A 26,144-nucleotide genomic window follows, 5' to 3' on the forward strand; every position below is an offset into this window, starting at 1 on the left:
GCAAAGCTTAGTGACCTCTCCTAAACCACAGCCAGCTACACATGAGCTCTTGCCATCCCACCTGCAAGGAAAGAGCCATGCAATTTAAAGATGGAAGAGATTGTGGTCATCATTTTACATTTTACGAACCTCTTCATTTTACAAGTAAAGAAATAGAGACCCAGAGACCCAAAGGCACAGGGCTAATGCCATCTCTCCTGGAAGTCAGATAGGAAGAGTCCTCACACCCCCTGCAGCCAAAATACAGTCATCCACACTTACCCTTTTAGGAAGAGGGTGACAGATGGGAGAGTAGTGTTTTTCCTTGCCACCTAGCCTTGTCTGTTTCCAAATCACTTATCAATTCACTCAGCAGCCTTGTCAGAGAAATATCTTGAGCCCTGCGGGGGGCCCAAGAAGAGGGAATAGGGCTAAGTGACTTCCAATGAGTGGGAGTGACTTCCCAATAGGACAGAGGATGTCAGGCAGGAAACGCACGTTCATGGGGTCACTGTCTCCCTGCACAAAGCCCAGAGCTGAAGGGAAGAGGGAAGGCAGCAGACCAAAGCAAGGAAGCAGGTCAGGCTTCGAGTTCAAGGTTTCTTTTCTATAGATTCTAGGGGAAGAGGAGCTCACCAAAAAGAGAGAGAAAGAAAAGGAGAGGGGGGTGGAAGAAAATGCCCCATGTACACCTAAAAGGTCTGGCAGGGCACAGTTTGCCTAAATACCCCAAGATGCTTCTCAGCAGCCCAGCGACATGCACAGTAGGTCTGGACTGTCAGGGGCAGGCAGGTCAGGACTGGGAGGTGAGGCTGGCCTCCAGGTTGCAGTGCCAGAGGTGTGGCCAGGCCAGGACGGGGAGGCTCTTCCGGCTGATGCCCACCCCCACTCTGCAGCTGCTCTCCCTCTCCACTCTGCCCTGCTTCACTCCCACCTTTTTCCTGGTTTGGGTTCAAACCCTAGCAACTAGCTCCAACAGATAACAACACCTGCCCACTCAGCAAACTGGCGTGCAGTCAAGAGACCGCCACACAATTGACTCTTCTGACACAGCACCTTTTGTTGCAGCCAAGATGTTTGAGAGGGAGAGAGTGAGGACACAGCTCAGTGGACCGGCTCCTGGCAACATGGCCTGGTCGGAAGCTCACATTTGCATTCTCGTCCTCAGGCCCCCACTCCCGGCCCCCATCCATGGAGCATAGAGAAACAGGTGGTGAGCATCCTCACTGGCAGATGCAGCAGGCGCTCACAGCAGAGGCAACGTCACTTTCCTTGTAGGTTTCTTGGCACCTTCTGGCCTTTCTGGAGCCAGCACCTCCTGGGAACTTGCTTCCTGGTGCTTCATCAAGGCCTTTGGCGTAACCATCCAGGATCTGTCACTCGTCCCACAAGGACTAGGGTCCTGCATTTTCTAAGTCACAGAAGCCTGTCAGGTCACACAGCCACAAAGTAAAGAGAGAGACCCAGACAGGAGAAAACTCGTGGAGGAAAATCATCACCACCAAGTAATGGCAAAGGAGGACTCCACACGTTCTGAAAAACAAGTCTCCTTAACTAGCCATTTTCTCGTCCCACCCTGGGCAGGCCAGCACTTCTCCATTTTCACACAGCTCTCCCCACATTCACACAGGTCTGTTTGGTTAAAAAAGAGAACAGAATTGTGCTGAAGTGGCTACTGAATGCTAAGGTTTGGGGGTTTGTTTTAATTTTTATATTCTAGAAAGAGGGTCTTCCTCTGTTACCCAGGCTGGAGTGTAGTGGTGCAATCATAGCTCACTGTAACTGGAAACTCCTAACCTCAAGCATCCTCCCACCCAGCCTCCTGAGTAGATGGGACCACAAGTGCACACCACCACACCCAGCTAATTTTTTTTTTTGGTAGAGACAGGGTCTTGCTGTGTTGGCCAGGCTGGCACGCAGTGGCACAATCATAGCTAACTGCAGCCCCAACCTCCCAGGCTCAAGCAATCCCCCCACCTCAGCCTCCCAAGTAGCTGGGACCACAGGTGTGCACCACCACAGCCAGCTAAATTATTTTATTTTTTGTAGAGACAGGTCTCACTGTGTTGCCCAGGCTGGTCTCAAACTCCTAGCCTTAAGCGATCCTCCCACCTCAGCTTCCCAAGTGCTGGGATTACAGGCATGAGTCACCACAGCCAGCAAAATGTTAAGATTTATATCACTGGAAATTTCTGTGTATGAAGTCAAGTGCCTGACCTTAAGGCACCTACTTTCTAATAGGAAAAACAAGGCAGGCAACTATCAAAAATATATGTGTAACATGCCACTCTGTGACACTGGGGATACAAGAAATGCCTCCTTAATTTTTTTAGTCAGATTGAATCTAATGAGACCCTACTTTCCAAAGGTGATGAAAAGTTTCATGTCTGTCATTTGGGGGAGTTATTTCTCCTTTCCATAAGCATAAGAACCCATAGGCTTTACATGATCCAAAAAAACAAAGGAGGAGGACCTGCTCATTGCCCCCAAGATGATGTGCACTGCTTGCTCCTAGTCCAGGGTGTGTGCTGCATGTGTTCCATGGCAGGCAGTTGTATTCCCTCCACGCCAAGTTCAGCCACAAAGGAATGTCCCTTAATAACCAAGACTCAGACAGCCCAGCAGTCATTGCCTTTGGATGTCTTTCCATCCCTGAGATGTTGGATTCAAGGGAGGTCAGCTCTGCACTGTTTACGAAACACACACTCCTCCTAGTCCTGGGCGATATAGCCACTAACTCCCCGGCCCTTGCAGCCCTCGGCTTAGATAACACCTCCTGGCATTCTATGTCTCACAGCCCTGTCGTATTTTCTTCACAATACTGATCACTAGCTGAAGCAATCTGATTTGTGGACTATGTGTTGGTTTACTGTGTTCTTCAGAAGAACACAAATTCTGTGAGAGCTGGATCCTTTCCAATCCTATTTGCTGATATATATCCAATGCCTAGAAAAGTGCCTGGCACAAGCTAGGGACAAGTATCTGTTGAATGAGTAACTTAATATGCCAAGACTGAAACCTCCTCCTTTTCTTATACTATCAAACATTATTTTGCCAACAAACCCCATGCTGAATGGCCCTAGATCTTCAAAAGCAGCATATCTCAGAGATGGAAAATGGAAAAGCGTCCTTGGTTCTTTCTAGCTGAGTCTACAAGAAGAAAACTCAGGTTAATGTTTCAATTACCCATTATACACACATATATATACAAATATCTCTATGATGTCAATATTATTTTGCAGGAATACAGTTGATAAGGGACTGAGCTGGACAAGATCACAAAGCTGATCTGAATTCAATAATTTTCAGACTGATCATTCAGACTTGGCTTAAGGTTGCTTTCACTTTTGTTTGCTACCCAACTAGCAAATGAGCAATGAAAATAATATACACAGGCTTGGCATGGTGACTCATGCCTGTGATCCCAGCACTTTGGGAGGCTGAGGCAGGAGGATTGCTTGAGGCCAGGAGTTCAAGACCAGGCTGGCCAACATGGCGAAACCCCATCTCTACTAAAATTACAAAAATTAGCCAGGCATGGTGGCTCACACTTGTAATCCCAGCTACTCAGGAGGCTAAGGGAGGAAAATTTCCCCAACCCAGGAGGTGGAGGTTGCAATGAGCCGAGATCATGCCACTGCACTCCAGCCTGGGTGAGAGTGAGACTGTTTCAAAAAAGAAAAAGAAAATAATATACACAGCAGGGTGTGGCAGCTCATGTCTGTAAGCCTGTAATCCCAGTGCTTTGGGGAGGCCAAGGCAGGAGGATCACTTGAGGCCAGTGTTGGGAACAGGCCCCCAAATCTGGCCATAAACTGGCCCCAAAACTGGCCATAAACAAAATCTCTGCAGCACTGTGACATGTTCATGATAGCCATGACACCCTTACTGAAGGTTGTGGGTTTACTGGGTTGTGTGTTCCTTACCTTACCAGGCAAGGAACACCTGGCCCACCCAGGGAGGAAAACTGCTTAAAGGCGTTCCTAAGCCACAAACAATAGCATGAGCAATCTGTGCCTTAAGGACATGTTCCTGCTGCAGATAACTAGCCAGAGCCCATCCCTTTGTTTCGGCCCATCCCTTTGTTTCCCATAAGGAATACTTTTAGTTAATCTGTAATCTATAGCAATAATGCTTATCACTGGCTTGCTGTCAATAAATATGTGGGTCAAACTCTGTTCAGGGCTCTCAGCTCTGAAGGCTGTGAGTCCCCTGATTTCCCACTCCACACTCTATATTTCTGTGTGTGTATCTTTAATTCCTCTAGTGCCACTGGGTTAGGGTCTCCACAACCTAGCTGGTCTCGACAGGCCAGGCGTTTGAGATCAGCCTGGGCAATACAGCAAGACCCCCCAGCTCTTAAAAAAAAACAAAAAGAAAAATATGGATGAGTAGACTCATCCCAGTTGCCTTCCTAAAATTCTTTACAGCCCCCAAAAATTTAATGGCTTCAGCAGGTCAAATAGAGTAAGGAACCTACCAAGACAAAAGAGCCCAGAATCTCAGTTCATTGACTTTCACAGGAATTTCCTGTCCCATTTTTAACTGCACCAATGGGCCCGCATTGGAGTGTGACCCCTGGCCACAGTCCACAATAGGGGTTGTGGTACAGACTAGCTTTGTGTCATCAAAAATGAATTAAAATAAATGGTTGATCTATGGTTGAAATGAGGAGAGTAATGTGCTATGGAAGACAGGAGGAAGAAAATGCTTTCAAACATATGAAGTGTTTTGTTTAAAAACTTGGAGAAGAGTAGAAGTTGAGTGTGCAGAGGGGAGGAATCCACAAAAGCAAGCCGGGCTCCAAAGGAAGCTGTGGGCGTGGGTTTACACTGAGAGACTGGAGCCATCTGGTGGAGAATGCTGAAAGCAACAAAGAATAATGAGAATCAGTGCAGTCTGCTAGAGAAATGAGATCCCAGAAGTGGGGACTGGAAGATACTCTTTACTTTTACATATGATGAAGTTGAGATTCAACAAATTTAAGTGACTTGCCGAAGCTGAAAGGGTGAAATAATGTCATTATTAAATGGGTTACCCTCAGATATGGTTTCAATCTAGTATGAACTGAAAAGTGGCTGATTTTGAAGAGCCTCAGTGATCAGGGAACTTGTACTCCACTCTGAAACTTTCAACACTTGCCCTTCCCTGTACTAGTCTGTTCTCACACTGCTAATAAAGACATACCTGAAACTGGGTAATTTATAAGGGAAAGAGATTTAAGGGACTCACAGTTCCACATGGCAGGAGAGGCCTCACAATTATGGCAGCTAGCAAGGGAGGAGCAGTCACATCTTACACAGCAGCAGGCAAGAGAGCTTGTGCGGGGAACTCCCCTTTATAAAACCAACAGATCTCGTGAGATTTATTCACTACCACAAGAACAGTATGGGGGAAACCACCCCCATGATTCAGTTATCTCCACCAGGCCCCAGCCTTGACATGTGGGGATTATTACAATTCTAGATGAGATTTGGGTGGGGACACAGCCAAACCATATCACTCCCTGAGCCCAGGAATCTATAAATTGTCAATCATGATCTCTAAGTCAGTCTTGATTCTCTCTCTGGTCAATATCCAAATGCACACAGTTGGATTCCCAGCTATATGTCACAACCTGCTGCCCAGCCTGAAGGCCTCCCTACAGGGAGGGAAACATAGGTGACAACTCCCCTCCTAGAGTTGGGATTGCATTCTTGACACCACACCTTTATCACTGGTGGCAATAATGGGATTTCAAATAAACTACTCTTTGGTCAAAGATTAGATGAGACTGTCCTGCCTCAACTGCATAGAAACTGCATAGAAATACCTTGTTCTCATGGGCCTGAAACTTGCAGAATGGATTTGCTGTAGATATGCTTTTGTACACATGTGAGCTTAGGCTTGTTCTATGGGCTATTACACAGACAGAAGTAAACACCATTACTTATTTCAGTAGAGATATTGTCCCTGAGGCCCAATCTCAAAGATAGATACAATTGACCAAAACAAAAACAGACAAAAATAAATAAAATGACCCCGGATTTCTTAGCTGCAGCCCATGAAAGCCACACAGACTTAACAGAGTAGGAACTTGGTCAAGGATATTAGACAATTCACATAATTGCTGAGAGAGTTAGAAAGCCAGTTGCTGGAACCATATGGGTAGAAACAACACCCAGCTATGTTGTGGGGGCTTGTAAGGAACTATCTTAGCCCCCACTGCTCACTCTCTATGCCCCTAGAGATTGAACATTAAAGAGCTTTTAGCTGGGCAGAATGGCACACACTTGTAGTCCCAGCACTTTGGGAGGCTAAGGCAGGAAAATCACTTGAGGCTGGGAGTTCAAGACCAGCCTGGGTAACACAGTGAGACACCCTCTCTCCAAAAAAATAAAAAGTTTTCCCAAGGACCAGCCATCTGTCCCCATGTTAGCTAGAAGATCAATTCCAGCATGTAGCAGAAACTACTATGCAGTCACCAAAACCCATGACTAGATCACATTTCCCAGACTTCCTTACTGTTAAATGTGGTGACTGTCTGAGTTCCAGCCAATAGAATGTAGGTAGAGGAAAAGTGCATCACTTCCGGGAAGAGCCAGTAAAAGCCTCCTGCAAGTCATCTTTTCTTGCTTCCTCCCCTGCCTGAATGGAGAGGACTCTGTGGACCTAGAGAAGGGCAGAACCACAAGATGAAAAAAGCCTTGAGCCCCTGAGTGACCACATGGAGGGCTGCATTACAAGGAACTCTCACATCAGACTCTGGAAAGTGACAAGTAAATGTACATTGTGCTTCAGGCCAGAGAAGGTAAAATTGATCTGCAGCAGCAACTGCTGTGACTCACCCTAAGGACAACCACTCACAAGTCTTTCATGGGCTCATGTGAGTGAAAGGATCTAGATTAGATGCTGCACCCTAGCTGCAAGGGAGCCGGGGGATGCAAGTTTGCTGCCATCATTCTTGTGAAAGTGGGATTCAGAATGTGGACAGTTACCAAGATGTAGAGAAAATACTTGGAGCAGCAATAAATGAAGCATGATCCCTACAGAAAGAAACAAACAGTTCACAGAAAATGTAGCCCAAATAGCCAGTAAACATATGAAAGGGGCCGGGCATGGTGGCTCACGCCTGTAATCCCAGTACTTTGGGAGGCCAAGGCAGGAAGATCACGAGGTCAGGAAATTGAGACCATCATGGCTAACATGGTGAAACCCCATCTCTACTAAAAATACAAAAAATTAGCCGGGCATTGTGACACACACCTGTAGTCCCAGCTGCTCAGGAGGCTGAGGCAGGAGAATGGCTTGAACTCAGAAGGCACAGGTTGCAATGAGCCGAGATCACACCACTGCTCTCCAGCCTGGGTAACAGAGTGAGATTCTGTCTCAAAACAAAAACAAAAACAAAAACAAAAAAAAAACATATGAAAGGATTACCAATATCACTAGTAATGATGGAGATGCAAAATTTTACCCCCAAAAAACAGGTGATTTTATACCATTAGATTGCAAAGCGTTTTAAGGCTTATAAATTTGGCAATGATGTGGAGAAATGAGGCCTCTCATATCATGTTGGTCAAAGTGTAAATTATCACACCCATTATGGAGAGCAAAATTGGACACTCTATAATAAAGTCAGAGACGTACCTTGAAATCCAATCTAGCAAGTCTGTTTCTAGACATGTATCTTAGCGATGGAGTGTCTCACAGCAACAGACAAATGCCCTCAAATGACACATATTGCTTTCACTCATGGCCCATTGACAAGAACTAATCAAAAGGCCCTGCCTTACTATAAGGTCACAAGAAAGAATAATCCTCCCACATGTTCAGAAAGGAGAAGAAAACTAGATATGACTTAGTATAATACCAGAAAGCAGAGACCACACTTTTCCAAAGAACTTCAATGTTGAAGCCTTTCTTGCAAAAACAGCAAAGAAAGTCTCACTATAAGACCTTCTCACAATGCAGAGACTTACTGCCGTCATCAGATTGCAAAACTTTTTTATTGAGGCAGAATCCATAGGTGATGAAAAGGAAATGTTTGTAGGTTTAGAAAGGTTAAAAGTAAAATCCAGGCAGAGGCAGTAAGATTGCTTGAGCCCAGGAGTTCAAGATCAGCCTAGGCAACATAGAGAAACTCTTGTCTCTGCAAAAAATGCAAAAATTAGCTGGGCATGTTAGCACACGCCTGTAGTCCCAGCTACTTGGGAGACTGAGGCAGGAGGATCATGTAAGCCCAGGAGGTTGAGGCTGCAGAGAACCATGATTGCTCTACTGACTCCAACTGGGCAACAGAGTGAGACTCTGTCTCAAAAAAAAAAAAAAAAAAAAAAAGAAAATTCCAATGACAAGGTCAGAATGATTCATCCCTTCCCAACTTTAGACTCAGACAGTCTATGACAACATCTTGCCATCTGTTGTATCTGACAGCCCCAGTATCTAGATGTAAAGCCATCTCTCAAGAACTTTGGTCAACAGTAACAGCACCTTGTTTACTTACTATCATCCATCCCAGAAAGGCATCTTGATATCCACATGTTGGAAAGCATCCAACAGGTAAGTGGCGATTAGGCCTATTATTGGTTTAGCTACAATCATCTAGATAGTCCAAATTTGGACAAGTCAGCATTGCTGAATCACACAATCTCCTGGAAAATTCAAGCAAATAAACAAGGAATCTGCCTTTCACCTCTATTACAATTCACCTCTATTCAAATGAAGGTGATATTTTCATGGTGGATTCTCGCACCAGCACCTATCTTAATACCTGGCACATAGACATTAGACAAATGTTTGTTAAATAAATGGATCAACGCATCAATCAATCTGGGTAATTATAGGCATACCATTGCTATCTGGTCTGCAAACTAAATTGCAGGATAAACACTCAGCCAGTAAAATCACTACCAGAGCTAGATGGTTGTATATATACCAGGAATTTTTGTCCAGATGCCAAGGGGAGGTGGAGGAGGAGGCTGGGAACTATCCCAGCTGGCATGGCTCTATAGATCCCACTGCCAAAGAAAGCACAGAGGCAGAAACGGAACTTTGAGCCAACTCAGTGAATTCACAGGCTGGGAGATACCATCCCATCTCTTCTCATAAATAATGGAGGCATAGCATCATTCTGTGTCTTAGCTTTGCCATTTTTTAAGTATATAAATTTTTAATTGACAAATAATTGTTCATATTCATGGGGTACATAGTGATGTTTTGATACATAGCATTATTCTATGTCTTAGCTTTGCCATTTTTTAAGTATACAAATTTTTTAATTGACAAATAATAGTACATATTCATGGGTACATAGTGATGTTTTGATACATAGAATGTATAGTGATCATATCAGAGTAATTAGCATATCCATCATCTCAATCATTTATCATTTCTTTGTGTTGGAAACATTCAATAGCTTTCTTCTCTACTTTGCCATCTGTAACAAGCAGGGTAGGACTAGAAGAGAATGAAGTTATGCAGCAAGAAACAGATTATTTTGCTGGCAAACACTAGGATTCTACCAAGTTTCTTGCTTCGCTTTGGAATTGAGATAAAGGCCCAAGCAGAAGCGAGATCAGAAACTTTCCCATATGAAACATATAGACACCCTAAGGTTTATGTCCAAATCCATCTTGATCTCTGAAGGAAGCAATCCTTGAAAAAAATATTTTTTTTCCAAAGACTGTGGAAGGCTCATGGCACAAGAAACTACCTGGGTATTAATTGGTGATGTCCTAGGAGAACAGTCAAGAAAATAGACACAGGCCGGGCACAGTGCTTCACGGCTGTAATCCCAGCACTTTGGGAGGCTGAGGAGGGTGGATCACCTAAGGTCAGAAGTTCAAGACCATCCTGGCCAACATGGTGAAACCCCATCTCTACTAAAAATACAAAATTAGCTGAGCTTGGTGGTGCATGCCTGTAATCCCAGATACTCCAGAGGCTGAGGCAGAAGAATTGCTTAGAACCCAGGAGGCGGAAGTTGCAGTGAGATGAGATCATGCCACTGCACTCCAGCCTGGGTGACAGAGCAAGACTCTGTCTCAAAAAAGAAAAGAAAAGAAAAGAAACACAGAGGAGGCTGGGCACAGTGGCTCATTCCTGTAGTTCCAGCACTTTGGGAAGCCAAGAAGGGAGGAGTGCTTGAGCTCAGAAGTTCCAGACCGGCCTGGGCAACACAGTGAGACTTGTCTCTACAAAAGATAAAATAATTTAGCTGGCTGTGGTGGTGCATGCCTGTGGTCCCAGCTACTTGGGAGGCTGAGGTGGGGGGATTGCTTGAGCCTGGGAGGTTGGGGCTGCAGTTAGCTATGATTGTGCCACTGTGTGCCAGCCTGGCCAACACAGCAAGACCCTGTCTCTACCAAAAAAAAATTAGCTGGGTGTGGTGGTGTGCACTCAATAAAACTAAGAGCTAGTATCTAGCTAGTATCTCATCAGAAATCATGGAGGTTAGGAGGCAGTGGGATAACATATTAAAAGAGCTGAAATATAAATTAAAAGTGCTATTAACCAAAAATTCTATATCTGACAAAACTATCTTTCAAAACTAAAGAGGAAATTAAGACATTCCCAGATAAACAAAAACTGAGAGAATCCATTGCTAGTAGACCTAACCTATAAGAAATGCTGAGAGGAGTCCTTCAGCTGAAATGAGAAGGAACACAAGCAATGCAAATCCACCCAAAGAAATAATGAACATCTGTAAATATTTACCTAACAACATAGGTAAATATAAGTCAGTATTCGTTTATTTTTAGTTTGTAACTCCTTTTTTTCCTATATAGTTTAAAACACAACTGTTTAGGGCTGTGTATGGTGGCTCACACATTTAATCCTAGCACTTTGAGGGGTCAAAGCAGAAGGATTGCTTGGGCCCAGGATTTTGAGGTCAGACTGGGCAACATAGACTCCATCTCTACAAATTTTTTTTTAATTAACCAGGCATAGTGGCATGTGCCTGTGGTCTCAGCTACTCAAGAGACTGAGGCAGGAGGATCACTTGAACCCAGGAGACAGACTGAGACTGCAGTGAGCCATGTTCACATCACTGCACCCCAGCCAGGGCAACAGAGCGAGATCCCATCTCAAAAAGTCAATCAATCAATCAATAAAACACAACAACTGTATAAAACAATACTTATAAATCTTCACTGATGTGCTCACAATGTATAAAGATGTGATTTGTAACAACAACAAATGGGATAGAGTTTTATAAGAGCAAAAATTGTGACTACTATTGAAAATAAGTTGGCATTAATTTGAACTTGTTTGTTATAAATTAAGATGTTAACTGTAATTCTCAGAGTAACCACTAAGAAAAAAAACTAAAAAGTATATTGTAAAAGAAATAAGAAGGAATAAAAAATGTACACTAGAAGATATCTATTAAATATAAAAGAAGGCAATAATGGAGGAATTGAGGGAAAAAAAACAATGTGAAATATAGAAAACAATAGCAAAGTGCAGAAGCCTTTCCTTATCAGTAATTAATTAGCGTAAATTAATTCAGAGATTAAATTATCTGAGTAAAGGGAAGAGACTTAGCAGAATATATTTTTTTAAAATAATCTAACCATATGCTGTCTACAAAATACTCACTTTAAATCCAAAGACAAATAGGTTGAGGCCAGGCACGATGGCTCATGCTTATAATCCCAGCTCTTTGGAAGGCCAAGGTGGGTGAATCACTTGAGGCCAGGAGTTGGGCAACATGGTGAAACCCTGTCTCTACTAAAAAGTACAAAAATTAGCCAGGTACGGTGGCTCACACCTATAATCCCAGCACTCTGGGAGGCTGAGGCGGGCAGATCACAAGGTCGGAAGTTCAAGACCAGCCTGACCAACATGGTGAAACCCCATGTCTACTAAAAATATAAAAATTAGCCAGGCGTGGTGGTGAGTGCCTGTAATCCCAGCTACTCAAGAGGCTGAGGCAGGAGAATCTCTTGAACCCGGGAGGCAAAGGTTGCAGTGAGCCAAGGTCGTGCCACTGCACTCTAGCCTGGGCGACAGAGCGAGACTCCAGTCTCAAAAAAAAAAAAAATTAGCTGGGCATGGTGGCACACACCTGTAGTCCTAGTTACTCCAGAAGCTGAGGCAGGAAAATCACTTGAACCTGGGGAGGTGGAGGTTGCAGTGAGCTGAGACCATGCCACTGCACTCGAGCCTGGATGACAGAGTGAGACCCCATCTCAAAACACACATACACACACATACACACACACACAAAGACAAATAGGTTGAAAGTAAAAGAATAGGAAGAGACTTTCCAAGCAAACATTAGCCAAAAAAGAACTTGAGCGGCTATATTAATATCAAACAAAATAGTAAGATAAAAATGTTTACAAAAGACAATAATGGATATTATACAATAATAATTATATAATATTATATACAATACTGATTATATACAATCAAGAAGATAAAACAATTATAAACATATGTACCTAAAAACAGAGACCCAAAATATATAAGGCAAAAACTGGCAGAATTGAAGGGAGAGATTATTCGATAATAATCATTACAAACTTCACTACTCCACTTTCAGTAGTGGGTGGAACAACTAGAAAAAAGATCAACAAGGAAATAAAAGAGTTGAACGACACTGTAAACAAACTAGACCTAACAAACTCTATAGAGCTCTATTATAGAACACTCTACCCAACAGAAGACACTCTTCTCATACCTAGCATTCTTCTCAAGTGTATATGGACCAACTCCAGAATAGATTATATTTAAACCACAAAACAAATCTCAAAGACTTTTCAAAAACTGAAATCACACAAAGTTTCTTCTCCAACCACACAGAATGAATTAGAAATCAATAGCAGAAGGAAATCTGGAAAATTGACAAATATGTGAAAATTAAATAACACACTCTTAAACAACCAACAGGTGAAAGAGAAAGTAACAAAAGGAATTAGAAAATACTTTGAGGTGAATAAAAATAAAAACACAACATACAAAAAAGTTTTGGGACACAGTGAAAGCAGCGCTTAAAGAAAATGTATAACTCTAAACACTTACATTTAAAAATAAAAAAAGATGTCAAATCAATTACCTAACCTCCTATTTTAAGAAACTAGAAAAAGAAAAGCAAACTAAACTCAGGAATCAGAAGAAAGGAAACAATAAAGATTAGACAAAAATAAATGAAATATAGAAAAACAATAGAAAGAATCAACAAAACAAAAAGGTTTTTTAAAAAGATAAGCAAAATTAACAAACATTTAGCCAGCACATTGGGAGGCCAAGGCGGGTGGATCACCTGAGGTCAGGAGCTCGAGACCAGCCTGACCAACATGGAGAAACACCATCTCTCCTAAAAATACAAAAAAAAAAAAAATTAGCCGGGCAAGGTGGTGCATGCCTGTAATCCCAGCTACTCAGGAGGTTGAGGCAGGAGAATCGCTTGAACCCAGGAGGTGGAGGTTGCGGTGAGCCAAGATAGCACCATTGCACTCCAGCCTGGGCAACAAGAGTGAAACTCCATCTCAAACAAAAAAGAAAAAAAGAAAGGGACAAATTCCTACACAAAGTACCAAAGGTGACTCAAGAAGAAGCAGAAAATTTTAATAGGCCCATAGCAAGTAATGACATTGAATCAGTAATCAAAACATTTTCAACAAAGAAAATTCTAAGACCCAATGACTTCACTTGGGAATACTCCCAAATGCCTAAAGAAGGATTAACAGTCTTCTCAAACTCTTCCAAAAAATAGAAGAGAACACTTATTAACTCTTTATATGAAGCCAGTATCACCCTGATGCCAAAGCCAGGTAAAGATACTAGAAGAAAACAAAACTACAGATCAATATATCTCATGAAGACTGATGAGAAAATTCTCAATAAAATACTACCAAATTGAATCTAGTAGCATAGTAAAAGGATTACACACCATGACCAAGTTGGATTTATTCCAGGAATGCAAGGATGATTCAACATATGGAAATAAATCCATGTAATACACCACATTAATAGAACAAAGGAGAGAAAAACATGAAAACTTCTTCATGCATAAAAAGTATTTGACAAAAGCCAATACTCTTTCATTGAAAAAAAAATTTCAACAAACTAGGACTATAAGGGAACTTCCTCAACCTGATCAAGGTCATCTATTAAAAACCCACAGCTAATATCACACTTACTGATGAAATAGTGAAGGTTTTTTTCCCTGAGATCTGGAAAATGACACAGATGTCCACTCTCACCACTTCTGTTTAACATTGTGCTGGAAGTTCCAGCCCAGGCAATTAAGCAAGTAAAACAATTAAAGCCATCCAAATCTGAAAAGAAGAAGTAACCCTTTTTCAGATGAACTGATCTTATATATAGAGAGAGAGAGAAAACCCTAAGGAATACACAATAAAATTTTTAGAGATAAGTGAATTCAGCAAAGTGACAGAATATAAGAACAATACACAAAAATCAGTTGTACTTCAAGACAACAGCGATGAACACTCTGAAAAGGAAATTAAGAAAATGACTCCACTTACAATATCATCCAAAATAATAAAATATCTAGGAATAAATGTCACCAAGGAGGGCAAAGACTTATACACTGAAAACCACAAAACATTGCTGAAAAAAAATTAAAGAAGACCTAAATAAATAGAAAAACATTTCACTATCATAGATTAGAAGACAATATTATTAAGATGGCAATTGTATTAGGCCATTCTTAGATTGCTATAAAGAAATAGCTGAGACTGCGTAATTTGTAAAGAAAAGAGGCTTAATTGGCTCATGGTTCTGCAGGCTGTACAGGAAGCACAGTGCTGCACATCTGCTCAGCTTCTGGGAAGGCTCAGGGAGCTTTTACTCATGGCAGAAGGTGAAGCAAGAGCAGGCACATCACATGGTAAGAGCAAGAGCAAGAAGGTGAAGCAAGAGCAGGCACATCACATGGCAAGAGCAAGAGCAAGAGAGTGTGTAGGGGAAGATGTCACACACTTTTAAACAGTCAGATCTTTCAAGTACTCACTCACTACTGCATGGACAACACCAAGGGGATAGCACTAAGCCAGTCATGAAAAATCCACTCCCATGATCCAGTCACCTTCCACCTGGCCCCACCTCCAGCACTGGGGATTACAATTCAACATGAGATTCTGGGGGAACAATATCCAAACTATATCAGCAATGTTCCCCAAATTGATCTACATATTGATCCAATCTCTGTCAAATTCTGTCATTTTGGCAGAAATAGACGAGCTGATTCTAAAATTCATAGGGAATTGATAAAGATGGAGAATATCCTAAAACAAAGATGGAAAAAGAAGAACAAAGTAGGAAAACACACAGTTCCCAATTTCAAAACTTACAACAAAGCTACAGTAATCACAACAGTGTGGTATTGGCATAAGGATAGACAGATCAATAGAGTAGAACTGAGAGTCCAGAAATAAATTCTTACTTCTATAGCTAATTGGTTTTCAACAAGTTTGTCAAGGCCATTAAATGAGGAAAGAATCGTCTCTTCAACAAATGGTGTTGAGACAACTGGATATTTACATGCAAAAGAATGAAATCAAACCCCTACCTTACACCATATGTAAAAATTAATTTGAAATTGATCAAAGACCTAAATGTAAGAATAAAAATGATAAAACTTTTAGAATAAAACGTAAGTATATGTCTTCTTGACCTTTAACTAGTTTTCTTAAATATGACACCCAAAGCACAAGCAACAAAAGAAAAAATAGACAAATTGAATTTCAAAATAACGGGCTTTTGGACATCAAGGAAACTATCAAGAAAGCATAAATGATAACCTACAGAATGGGAGAAAATATTTGCAAACACATATCTGGTAAAGGCCTAGTATCCAGAACAGAAAAAGAATTCTTCCCCCTCCTCGCCCGGCCCCGGCCTCCATTCCCTCCCAGGGTCGCTTCGACGAGCGGCTAGGTGCACTGCGGCGGCAGCACTTTCCACGGCAGGAGCTGGAGCTGGGCTCTGGTGCGCGCGCAGCTGGGCCGCCCGAGCCGGAGGGACTGGTTGGTTGAGGGAGAAAGGGAGGGAATCCCGGGCTGCCCAACCGCATGTTCAGCCTGCTCGCTCCTGCAGGGCAGCCCTTCGGCTCTCTGCGTGGGGAGCTGAGTCCCGGGTTGTTGAGGCGGGGGTCCCCTAAGACCGCTACCGGCCCCTCGGCGCTGACGGGCCCGCGAGGGGCTCACCCTCCGAAGGCAGCCTCGCCGAAGGCAGACGCGGACCGGACTTGGTCCTGCACAGCAGGCGCGGAGCAGCGCAGCGGGAGGACGCGAGAGGTGCTGCCCTCCCCCCGGAGTTGGAAGCGCCTTAGTCGGGTCCAAAATGCCCAAGAAGACGCCGACGCCCATCCAGCTGACCCCAGCCCCCGACGGCTCCAGCCGTGGTTAACGGGACCAGCTCTGCGGAAACCAACTTGGAGGCCTTGCAGAAGAAGCTGGAAGAGCTAGAGCTTGACGAGCAGCAGCGAAAGCACCTTGAGGCCTTTCTTACCCAGAGATAGAAGGTGGGAGAACTAAAGGATGACGACTTTGAGAAGATCAGTGAGCTGGGGGCTGGCAATGGCGGTGTGGTGTCCAAAGCCTCCCACAAGCCTTCTGGCCTGGTCGTGGCCAGAAAGCTAATTCATCTGGAGATCAAACCTGCAGTCCGGAACCAGATCATAAGGGAGCTGCAGGTTCTTCATGAGTGCAACTCTCCGTACATCGTGGGCTTCTGTGGTGCATTCTACAGCGAGAGGCGAGATCAGTATCTGCAGGTAGCACATGGATGGAGATTCCCTGGATCAAGTCCTGAAGAAAGCGGGAAGAATTCCTGAACAAATTTTAGAAAAAGTTAGCATTGCTGTAATAAAAGGCCTGACATATCTGAGGGAGAAGCACAAGATCATGCACATAGATGTCCAGCCCTCCCACATCATAGTCAGCTCCCGTGGGGAGATCAAGCTCTGTAACTTTGGGGGGTCAGTGGGCAGCTCATCGACTCCATGGCCAACTCCTTCATGGGCCCAAGGTCCTACATGTCCCCAGAAAGATTCCAGGGGACTCATTACTCTGTGCAGTCAGACATCTGGAGCATGGGACTCTCTCTGGTAGAGATGGCAGTTGGGAGGTATCCCATCCCTTCTCCAGATGCCAAGGAGCTGGAGCTGATGTTTGGGTGCCAGGTGGAGGGAGATGCGGCTGAGACCCCACCCAGGCCAAGGACCCCAGGGAGGCCTCTTAGCTCATATGGAATGGACAGCCGACCTCCCGTGGCAATTTTTGAGTTGTTGGATTACATAGTCAACGAGCCTCCTCCAAAACTGCCCAGTGGAGTGTTCAGTCTGGAATTTCAAGATTTTGTGAATAAATGCCTAATAAAAACCCCGTAGAGAGAGCAGATTTGAAGCAACTCATGGTTCATGCTTTTATCAAGAGATCTGATGCTGAGGAAGTGGATTTTGCGGGTTGGCTCTGCTCCACCATCGGGCTTAACCAGCCCAGCACACCAACCCATGCTGCTGGCGTCTAAGTGTTTGGGAAGCAGCAAAGAGCAAGTCCCCTGCCCAGTGGTTTGCCATGTCACTTTTGGGCCTCCTTCCCATGCCTGTCTCTGTTTAGATGTGCATTTCACCTGTGACAAAGGATGAAGAACACAGCATGTGCCAAGATTATACTCTTGTCATTTTTAATATTACTGTCTTTATTCTTATTACTATTATTGTTCCTCTAAGTGGATTGGCTTTGTGCTTGGGGCTATTTGTGTGTATGTTGATGATCAAAACCCGTGCCAGGCTGAATTACAGTGAAATTCTGGTGACTGTGGGTAGTCATTCTTACAATTGCACTGCTGTTCTTGCTCCATGACTGGCTGTCTGCCTGTATTTTCGGGATTCTTTCACATTTGGTGGTACTTTATTCTTGCTGGGCATACTTTCTCTCTGAGTAGGAGGGAGCTTTTTGTGAGATCCTTCACAGGCAGTGCATGTGAAGCATGCTTTGCTGCTGTGAATATGAGCATCAGAAAGTGTACATCATGTTATTTTATTATTATTTGCTTTTCATGTAGAATTCAGCAGTTTACATCCAAATCTAGCCAGAGCACTTCACTGCCATGATAGCTGGGGCTTCACCAGTCTGTCTACTGTGACGATCTGTAGACCTCCGGTTGTATTTCTACATTTATTTTCAATATACTGTGTGGGATACTCAGTGGTATGTCTCTTTAAGTTTTGATTGTTTCTTAAATGGTGAAATTATTTTGAATGTCACAAATTGATCAAGGCATTAAAATGTCAGATTTATCTTTCCCCATATCCAAGTACCAATGCTGCTATAAACGACACGTACAGTGCCTAATATTGTATGAAAATCCTTTTAACCATTTTAACCTAGATGTTTAACAAATCTAATCTCTTATTCCAATAAATATACTATGAAGTTTAAAAAAAAGGATGGAAGCTAAAAAAAAGAAAAGAAAAGAAAAAGAATTCTTACAACTCAAAAAGACAAGGACTTGAGTAGATATGTTGTTGGTGAAAATGTAAATGGTGCAGCCACTGTAGAAAACAGTTTGGTTGTTCCTCAAAAAGCTAAACATAGAACTACCACACAACCGAGCAATTCCACTCCCAGGTATATATCTAAGAGAACTGAACACGAATGTTCGAATAGAAACTACACACAAATGTTCACAGCAGCATTATTCACAATAGCCAAAAGGTAGAAACAACCTAAATATTCATAAACTGTTGAATGGATAAACAAAATGTGGTATATCCATACCACAGATTACTATTCAGCCATTAAAATGTACAGAGTGTGTTACCTGCTACAACAAGACAAAGCTTGAAAACAAATGAAAGAAGCCAGACACAAAAGGCTTATCATATTACATGATTCTATTTATATGAAATGTCCAAAGTATGGAAGTCCACAGAGACAGAAAACCAATTAGTGATCACCAGGGTCTGGTAGGAGGGGTACAAAGGAAGTGACTGCTTAATAAATATGGGGTTTCTTTTTGGAGTATTGAAAATGTTCTACATTTTTTTTTTTTTTGGTAGAGATGAGGTCTCTCTATGTTTCCCAAAATTAGCCAGCCATAGTGGTGCATTCCTGTGGTCCCACCTAGTCGGGAGGCTAAGGCTTGAGCCTGGGAGGTCGAAGCTGAAGTGAGCCTTCACTTCACACCACTGCACTCCAGCCTGGGTAACAGTGAGATCCTGTCTTTAAAAAGAAAGAAGAGAGGGAGAAAAGAAAGAAAAAGAAACAGAGATGGAAGAAAGAGACAGGAAGGAAAGAAAGAGAAAGAAAGGAGGGAGGAAGGGAGGGGAGGGGAGGGAGGGGAGAGAGAAAGAAAAAAGAAAAGGAAGGAAAGAAAAAGAAACAAAGAAAGAGAAAAGAAAGAAAAAGAGAAAGAAAGAAAAAGAAAAAGAAAGAGAAAGAAAGAAAGAAAAGAAAGAAAGAAAGGAAAGAAAAAGAAAGAAAGAAAGAAAGAAAGAAAAAGAAAGAAAGAAAGAAAGAAAGAAAGAAAGAAAGAAAGAATAAGAGAGAGAGGGAGGGAGGGGAGGGGAAGGGAGCGGAGGGGAGAGAGGAAGGAAAGAGAGAGAGGGAAGGAAGGAAGCAAGGAAATGTTTTAGAATTAGTAGTTGCAGTAGCACAATCTGTGTATGTATTAGAAGCCACTAAATTGGCATACTTTAAAATGGTTAAAATGGGGAATGTATGTTATGTGAATTTTACCTCAATTTAAGGTGTGTCTGTGTACCATCGGATTATGTTATTCAACCTATGAATAACAGTCCATAGACCAGATTTAACACCCAGCTCCAACCAAATCCAAATCCAACCATTTGAATGAGGGCAAAAATTTTAGCCTCTGAGTCTCAGTTTCGTATATAAAAATGGGGTTGATAATAATGCCTGCCTTATAGAGTCCTTAGGATTAAATGAGCTAACAAAAGTAAAGAATATATCATGAGCCCTAGAATATAATAAATTCTCAACAAATACATAAACAGATGCACAGAAAATAGATAGCTATGGCTGGGTACAGTGGCTCATGCCTAGAATCCCAGCACTTTGGGAGGCCGAGGTGGGAGGATCACTTGAGTCCAGGAGTTTGAGATCAGCTTGGACAACATAGTGAGACCCTGTCTCTATAAAATAATGATAATAATAAAATGGCATCAGCAGTGGCTGGGCAAGTTATTTGTTGCTAGGAAAGACAAGTGTCATGAGTTTCCACTTTGCATAATGTGTTCACCAAAATTACAGCTCCACGTAACTTCCAGTCTCTTTCCCCATGCAAATATTTCCAAAGCCAACTTAAATCTCATCTCAATTAAGCCTTTCCAGTCACCCAAGCTGAAGATACCTCCTCTTCCACTGAGCTTCTCAGAAAAAGAAAAAAGAAATGAAGCAAAAAGAAAAGGTACCGCCAGGTGCAATGGCTCATGCCTGTAATCCCAGCACTTTGGGAGGCCAAGGCAGGAGGATCATTTGAGCCCAGCAGTTCGAGACCAACCTGGGCAACAAGGTAAGACCTTGTCCATGTAAAAACTAAATAAACAAATATTAAAAAAAAGAAAAGGCACTAATTTAAAAACCTCTGTCTCCTACCGTAACCTCTTTCCTTTGACATCATTTTCTCCATTTCCTCCCACATTTCTTTGATCTCATCGACATCCCAAAAACAATGACATTTCTACTTTTTTTTACCCAGCACATTCCTTCTCATCAAGCTACAATTCCATAGTCTAGCAAATGCATTTGCTGTCTTACAAATACCTTCAGCTCCTTGACCTTCTCCTTCCACAGCAGAACCTGAACTCTGCACAGATCCAATATCCACCTTACCTCCTCTATGCCTTGAACTTGAAACATTGGTTATTACTGGAGAAAAACACCCAGTTAAGCAGAATGGTAACAGGTCAAATTAGTAGTGACCAACCTCAAATTTACACTCAACCATGCCCAGAAATTTTCTTAAATTTCCTCTACTAAACCCTTCTCCCATTCTCCATTAGGATTTCATACCTCTCCACTCCACTAAAACTCTGACGTCCTGTTCCATGTAGCCTCAATTGATCATTCCTCACACTTCATGAAGAATACAGAACCCATCAAGTACCAAATCATCCCTCGTATTTTAACCACCAATTCTCCATCTGCAACTACAGTCTTCTTTTTCCGTCTATTACATAGAAATGCCTTTCCCATAATGAAAGTCATACTTCTCCATCTCTGCTCTAGATTGAATCCTCTTTTCACTCAGGGCCTTGCCGTGCACCAAGGTGTGAATATGGTGATCTGGGGGTTTTCTTTTACTTTTACATAAGTGATTATGGGGCCAGGCATGGTGGCTCATGCCTGTAATCTCAGCACTTTGGGAGGCCGATGTCGGAGGATCACTTGAGTCCAGGAGTTTGAGACCAGCCTGGGCAACAAAGTGAGACCCCCATCTCTAAAAATAAATAAATACAATATAATAAATAAAAGAAGCTACCATGGATTACTTACATAGTTTTTAAGGAAGAAATTAAGAGGGAGGTGTAATCCATTGTCATCAGAGAGTTCTGGCATCCTTGGAGAGGCTCTAACACTACATTGTCATTTCAGGTCAACATTCAGCCACCAATTCGGTTTTGGGGTAGGAATAGAAACTAAATTCTGCAGCCGGGTGCGGTGGCTCACACCTGTAATCCCAGCAACTTGGGAGGCCAAGGCAGGCAGATCATGAGGTCAGGAGATCGAGACCATCCTGGCCAACACGGTGAAACCCCGTCTCTACTAAAAATACAAAAATTAGCCAGGTGTGGTGGCACGCGCCTGTAGTCCCAGCTACTCAGGAGGCTGGGGCAGGAGAATGGCATGAACCCAGGAGGCGGAGGTTGCGGTAAGCTGAGATCACGCCATTGCACTCCAGCCTGGCAACAGAGCGAGACTGTCTCAAAAAAAAAAAAAATTCTGCCCACCAGAGAAACTGAGTAAACAAGTCTCATAAAGATCACAGGAAGTGCTACAGAATGTAGTTAACTATCTCTTGTGAAATAACAGGCCATATATCTCAAGTCTCTCCCATAGCTGACTTAATTGTTGCTAATTTTCTAATTTACCTAAATCACAAAAGTGAAATCAGAGAGATTACCTAATGACTGATCTGTTCGAAGACGAGTGAATTCAAAAGGCTTCAGCAGCACTGGAGAGCCTCGGGTGTGGGGAGGGCTCACCTCCGCAGGGCCACTTTTTCTTGTCAACGAATCACACAGTCAAATTACAGGAGAAAGTGACAGGAATTCGGCTAAATTCCAACTCCCGGCCTCAGAAGGTTATTCATCAACCCTGCAGCAGCAGCTCTCTGTCTGGCAGGGGAGGTTTCCTCTAATTATGTATCGCTCCCTGCGGGCCACCCGGCAGGACCTTTATTTTCTTCACAGTTATTAATCAGCTATCCAGTGTTAACAAGAAGATCAGATCCAGAAGTATGCAAATCCACCCTCAATTCTTTCTCCTAATCACTCAGCAGGCCACCTTAGGAGCTCGCTAATGAGCTGACCATCTGAAAGCCTCCTGCTAACTACCAAGTCTCCTATTCTTAATGATCACTTCCAAAATGGGATATTTTTGTTTCAAATACATAGGCCTATTCAATACCCTGAAATATATAACTTTTCAGCAACTTTCTGGCAAAACTTATCTAAATTAGGCAATGCTAAAACTGACTAAATTATAATAAAACCGAAGAAATGTCCAATGGGGAATTCAAATTCAACACCTGGGGACCTTCCTAACCCCAGAGACTGAGTCCCAATCTTTGTTACTTTTTTTTTTTTTTTTTTTTTTTTTTGAGCAGCGTCGCACTCTGTCGCCCAGGCTGGAGTGCAGTGGGGTGATCTCGGCTCACTGCAACCTTGCTGATACCACTCCAATGACTGGAGGAATACCAGGGTCCTCGGTCTCGTGCCGGTTTAAATAAAACGCACACACGTGGAGTGGTTTTAGGGATCGAAAAGTTTCATAGGCAAGAAAGAAGGAAGAAGAAAACAGCTCCCCCGTATAGAGACAGAGGGAGGGGTATTCAAACAAAGAGAAAACTCCGTGTGCGGCAGAAAAGTGGCTGCTTATAGGAAGAGGCCGGAGGAGGTGGTGTCTGATTTCCATAGGGCCCACCAGGTGTGTCATTTACATAACCCAAGAAAAACCTGGCCCTCCCACCTTAGCCCCGTAACATACAAATGCAGGTCGCCATGATGTTCTGAACACATGGTGTTATCTGGAGGTGGCCATGACAATTGCTACACCTGGTGACAAGGAAAAGATGGCAGGAATCGCCATATTGAGTGAACCCAGTTTCTAATGGCCTGTATTTGCATATTAAAGCTTGCTGGCCCAACCCTTCAAGCCACCATTTCTGTTAGAAAAGAGATGGTTCAGGGATTGTTTCTTATTCCAGGAAAATTTCCACCGAGAACCTTTACCCTTACTATCTGCCTAAAAATTATTTCTTAATAACTCCTGTATCATCACCTCCTGGGTTCAAGTGATTCTCCTGCCTCAGTCTCCCAAGTAGCTGGGATTACAGGTGGCCACCACCATGCCCGGCTAATTTTTGTATTTTTAGTAGAGATGGAGTTTCAACCATGTTGGCCAAACTGGTCTCAAACTCCTGACCTCAGGTGATCCTCCTGCCTCAGCCTCCCAAAGTGCTCACAGGCATGAGCCACTGCACCCCGCCCCAATCTGTGTTTCTATTATCAAAGTCTCATCCTTTGAATGTGTCTTCCTCTAACAACTTCAAAATAGGATCCCTGTTCTGAAGTAAGTATTACATTGAGCCTTACAAAACTACCAATCTAATAATTTTTTATCTACAAACATGGCGATTGTCAGGCCTCTGAGCCCAAGGTAAGCCATCATATCCCCTGTGACCTGCACGTACACATCCTGATGGCCAGTTCCTGCCTTAACTGATGACATTCCACCACACAAGAAGTGAAAATGGCCTGTTCCTGCCTTAACTGATGACATTGTCTTGTGAAATTCCTTCTCCTGGCTCATCCTGGCTCAAAAGCTCCCCTACTGAGCACCTTGTGACCCCCACTTCTGCCCACCAGAGAACAACCCCCCTTTGACTGTAATTTTCCTTTATCTACCCAAATCCTACAAAACGGCTCCACCCTTATCTCCCTTCGATGACTCTCTTTTCGGACTCAGCCCACCTGCACCCAGGTGATTAAAAGCTTTATTTCTCACACAAAGCCTGTTTGGTGGTCTCTTCACACGGACGCGCATGAAAGCGATTTTGTGGTTCAACTTAATATACTGGCCCTCAGAGTCTTTTGGAAAGGGATTGAGTTTTTTTAAGCATACAAATAAAGAATAATAATAATAAATGTAATAACTAACATTATTGAAGCATTCATTTAACCCTCACAACATTTAACACTCTCATTTCACAGATGTGAAAACTGAGCATAAAGAAGTTGAGTAAGGCCGGGCACAGTGGCTCATGCCTGTAATCCCAGAGGCCAAGGTGAGAGGATCGCTTGAGGCCAGGAGTTCAAGACCAGCCTGGGCAACATAGTGAGATGTTTCTATAAAAACTTTTTTTTATTATTTGTTTTTACTTTTTAAAAATTAGTGCACACATGTAGTACCATCTGCTTGGGAGACTGAATAGGAGATCACTTGAGCCTGGGAGATTGAGGCTGCAATGAGCCAAGAATGCACTACTGCACTCCAGCCTCAGTGACAGAGCAAGACCCTGTCTCCAAAAAAAAAAAAGGTTGAGTACTCTTCTCAAGGTCACAGACTGGCAAAGGCTAGATTCAACACAGGCTTGTCTGATACACAGCCATTAACCACTGTGCTGTATTTTCCGAAAAGTTTTTGTTGATAATGAAGGGACTCCCTCTGACCCCATATACTTTTCTAGGCATTGAAACTTTTACTTCTTCCACTGAGATCCCATAAGGGATAAAGTTGCACATGGGCACTAAGGGTGAGTCTACTGTAGGCAAAACAGGTATTGTGTGGGTGCACACATGTGCACATGCAGCATGCTCCTGTGGAAGTGTGTGCCATGTATGGAAATTAGGCTATGATCGTATGGTATGGACAACGACCTTTGATAGATTAGAATACTGAAGATTTCTAATTTTATGAACAGGACAGACTCAATGTCTTGAAAACTCTCCCACCATTAACACAGAGGAATGCCAGATGTAACATCCATTTGAATGCATAGCAACCAGCTGCGGTGGCTCATGCCACCCCATCTCTACTAAAACTACAAAAATTAGCCAGGCATGGTGGTACATGCCTGTAATCCCAGCTAATCAGGAGGCTGAGGCAAGAGAATTGCTTGAACCTGGGAGGCAGAGGTTGCGGTGAGCCGAGATTGCACCACTGCACTCCAGCCTGGGTGACAGAGTGAGACTCTGTGGAAAAAAAAAAAAAAAAGTAAAAACATTTGAATGCATAGTTAAGCTTACAAGAAAGTAGGAGAAATCCCCAGAGCTCAGCAATGAAGATTTGGTTTCTGAAAACCAGAGCATTATGTGAGTGAGCTGATGTGGCAACTAACCTGGATTGGTCGGGTTTATCTCCAACTTACGAAACGTTAGGAATTTGGTTTTAACATGTACACAATGATAAAGTGAAAGATCTTGAGACTGCCAAGTAGGAAGCTGAAGTAAGACCCACCCATCCTCCCTCCCCTGACTCCACATACAGCACAGGAAGAGTGGACTAGAAAAATATCTCTCTACCAGCATAACGAAATGACGTAGAAGTTTGTCTCTTCTGGCCTACCTAGACTCTGAATAGAAAAAGAAAAAAAAAGAAAAAAAATTAGTTTCCTCATCGGAAAGTCAATTATGGGTCAATGCCATGTGAGGACCCAGGAACCCCCAAGCCAAAAAATTAACACATAAATAGATCCTAGGATGGCTACATCACTGGAGCACCTGGCAGAAGAAAACCACACAGGAGGGACACACTCACCACCATTCTTACAAATAGAGCCCTGCTGAAGATGAACTCATAACATACAATCACACAACTCAGTACTTAATAATCCATCGTGAGCAAGAGCCAGCAGAAGTAACAAGCATGTAATAAAGTTCATTAGACTCTCAGAGCTTCAGGTTCCTGAATAATCAAATGAAGATGATAAAACAATTAAAGACATAAAGGAGAAAAGTA

The 26,144-nt window shown here is 42.9% G+C and overlaps 1 pseudogene, besides 2 other annotated features; it reads left to right on the top strand.

Moving 5' to 3' along the window:
- Positions 8,779 to 9,073: a silencer, noted in NCBI's record as "tiled region #14750; HepG2 Repressive non-DNase unmatched - State 23:Low". NCBI's record gives its function as "represses a minimal TATA promoter and a strong SV40 promoter by Sharpr-MPRA in HepG2 cells {active_cell/tissue: HepG2}" and the evidence as "EXISTENCE:reporter gene assay evidence [ECO:0000049][PMID:27701403]".
- On the top strand, positions 15,842 to 18,398 carry MAP2K1P1 (mitogen-activated protein kinase kinase 1 pseudogene 1; annotated as a pseudogene).
- Positions 21,909 to 22,730: an enhancer, noted in NCBI's record as "NANOG-H3K27ac-H3K4me1 hESC enhancer chr8:29890859-29891680 (GRCh37/hg19 assembly coordinates)". NCBI's record gives its function as "activates a minimal SCP1, AML or CMV promoter by ChIP-STARR-seq in naive H9 embryonic stem cells {active_cell/tissue: H9 hESC(naive)}" and the evidence as "EXISTENCE:reporter gene assay evidence [ECO:0000049][PMID:30033119]".

The sequence above is a fragment of the Homo sapiens genome, chromosome 8 (genome assembly GCF_000001405.40).
Source record: "Homo sapiens chromosome 8, GRCh38.p14 Primary Assembly".
Classification (NCBI taxonomy): Eukaryota; Metazoa; Chordata; class Mammalia; order Primates; family Hominidae; genus Homo; species Homo sapiens.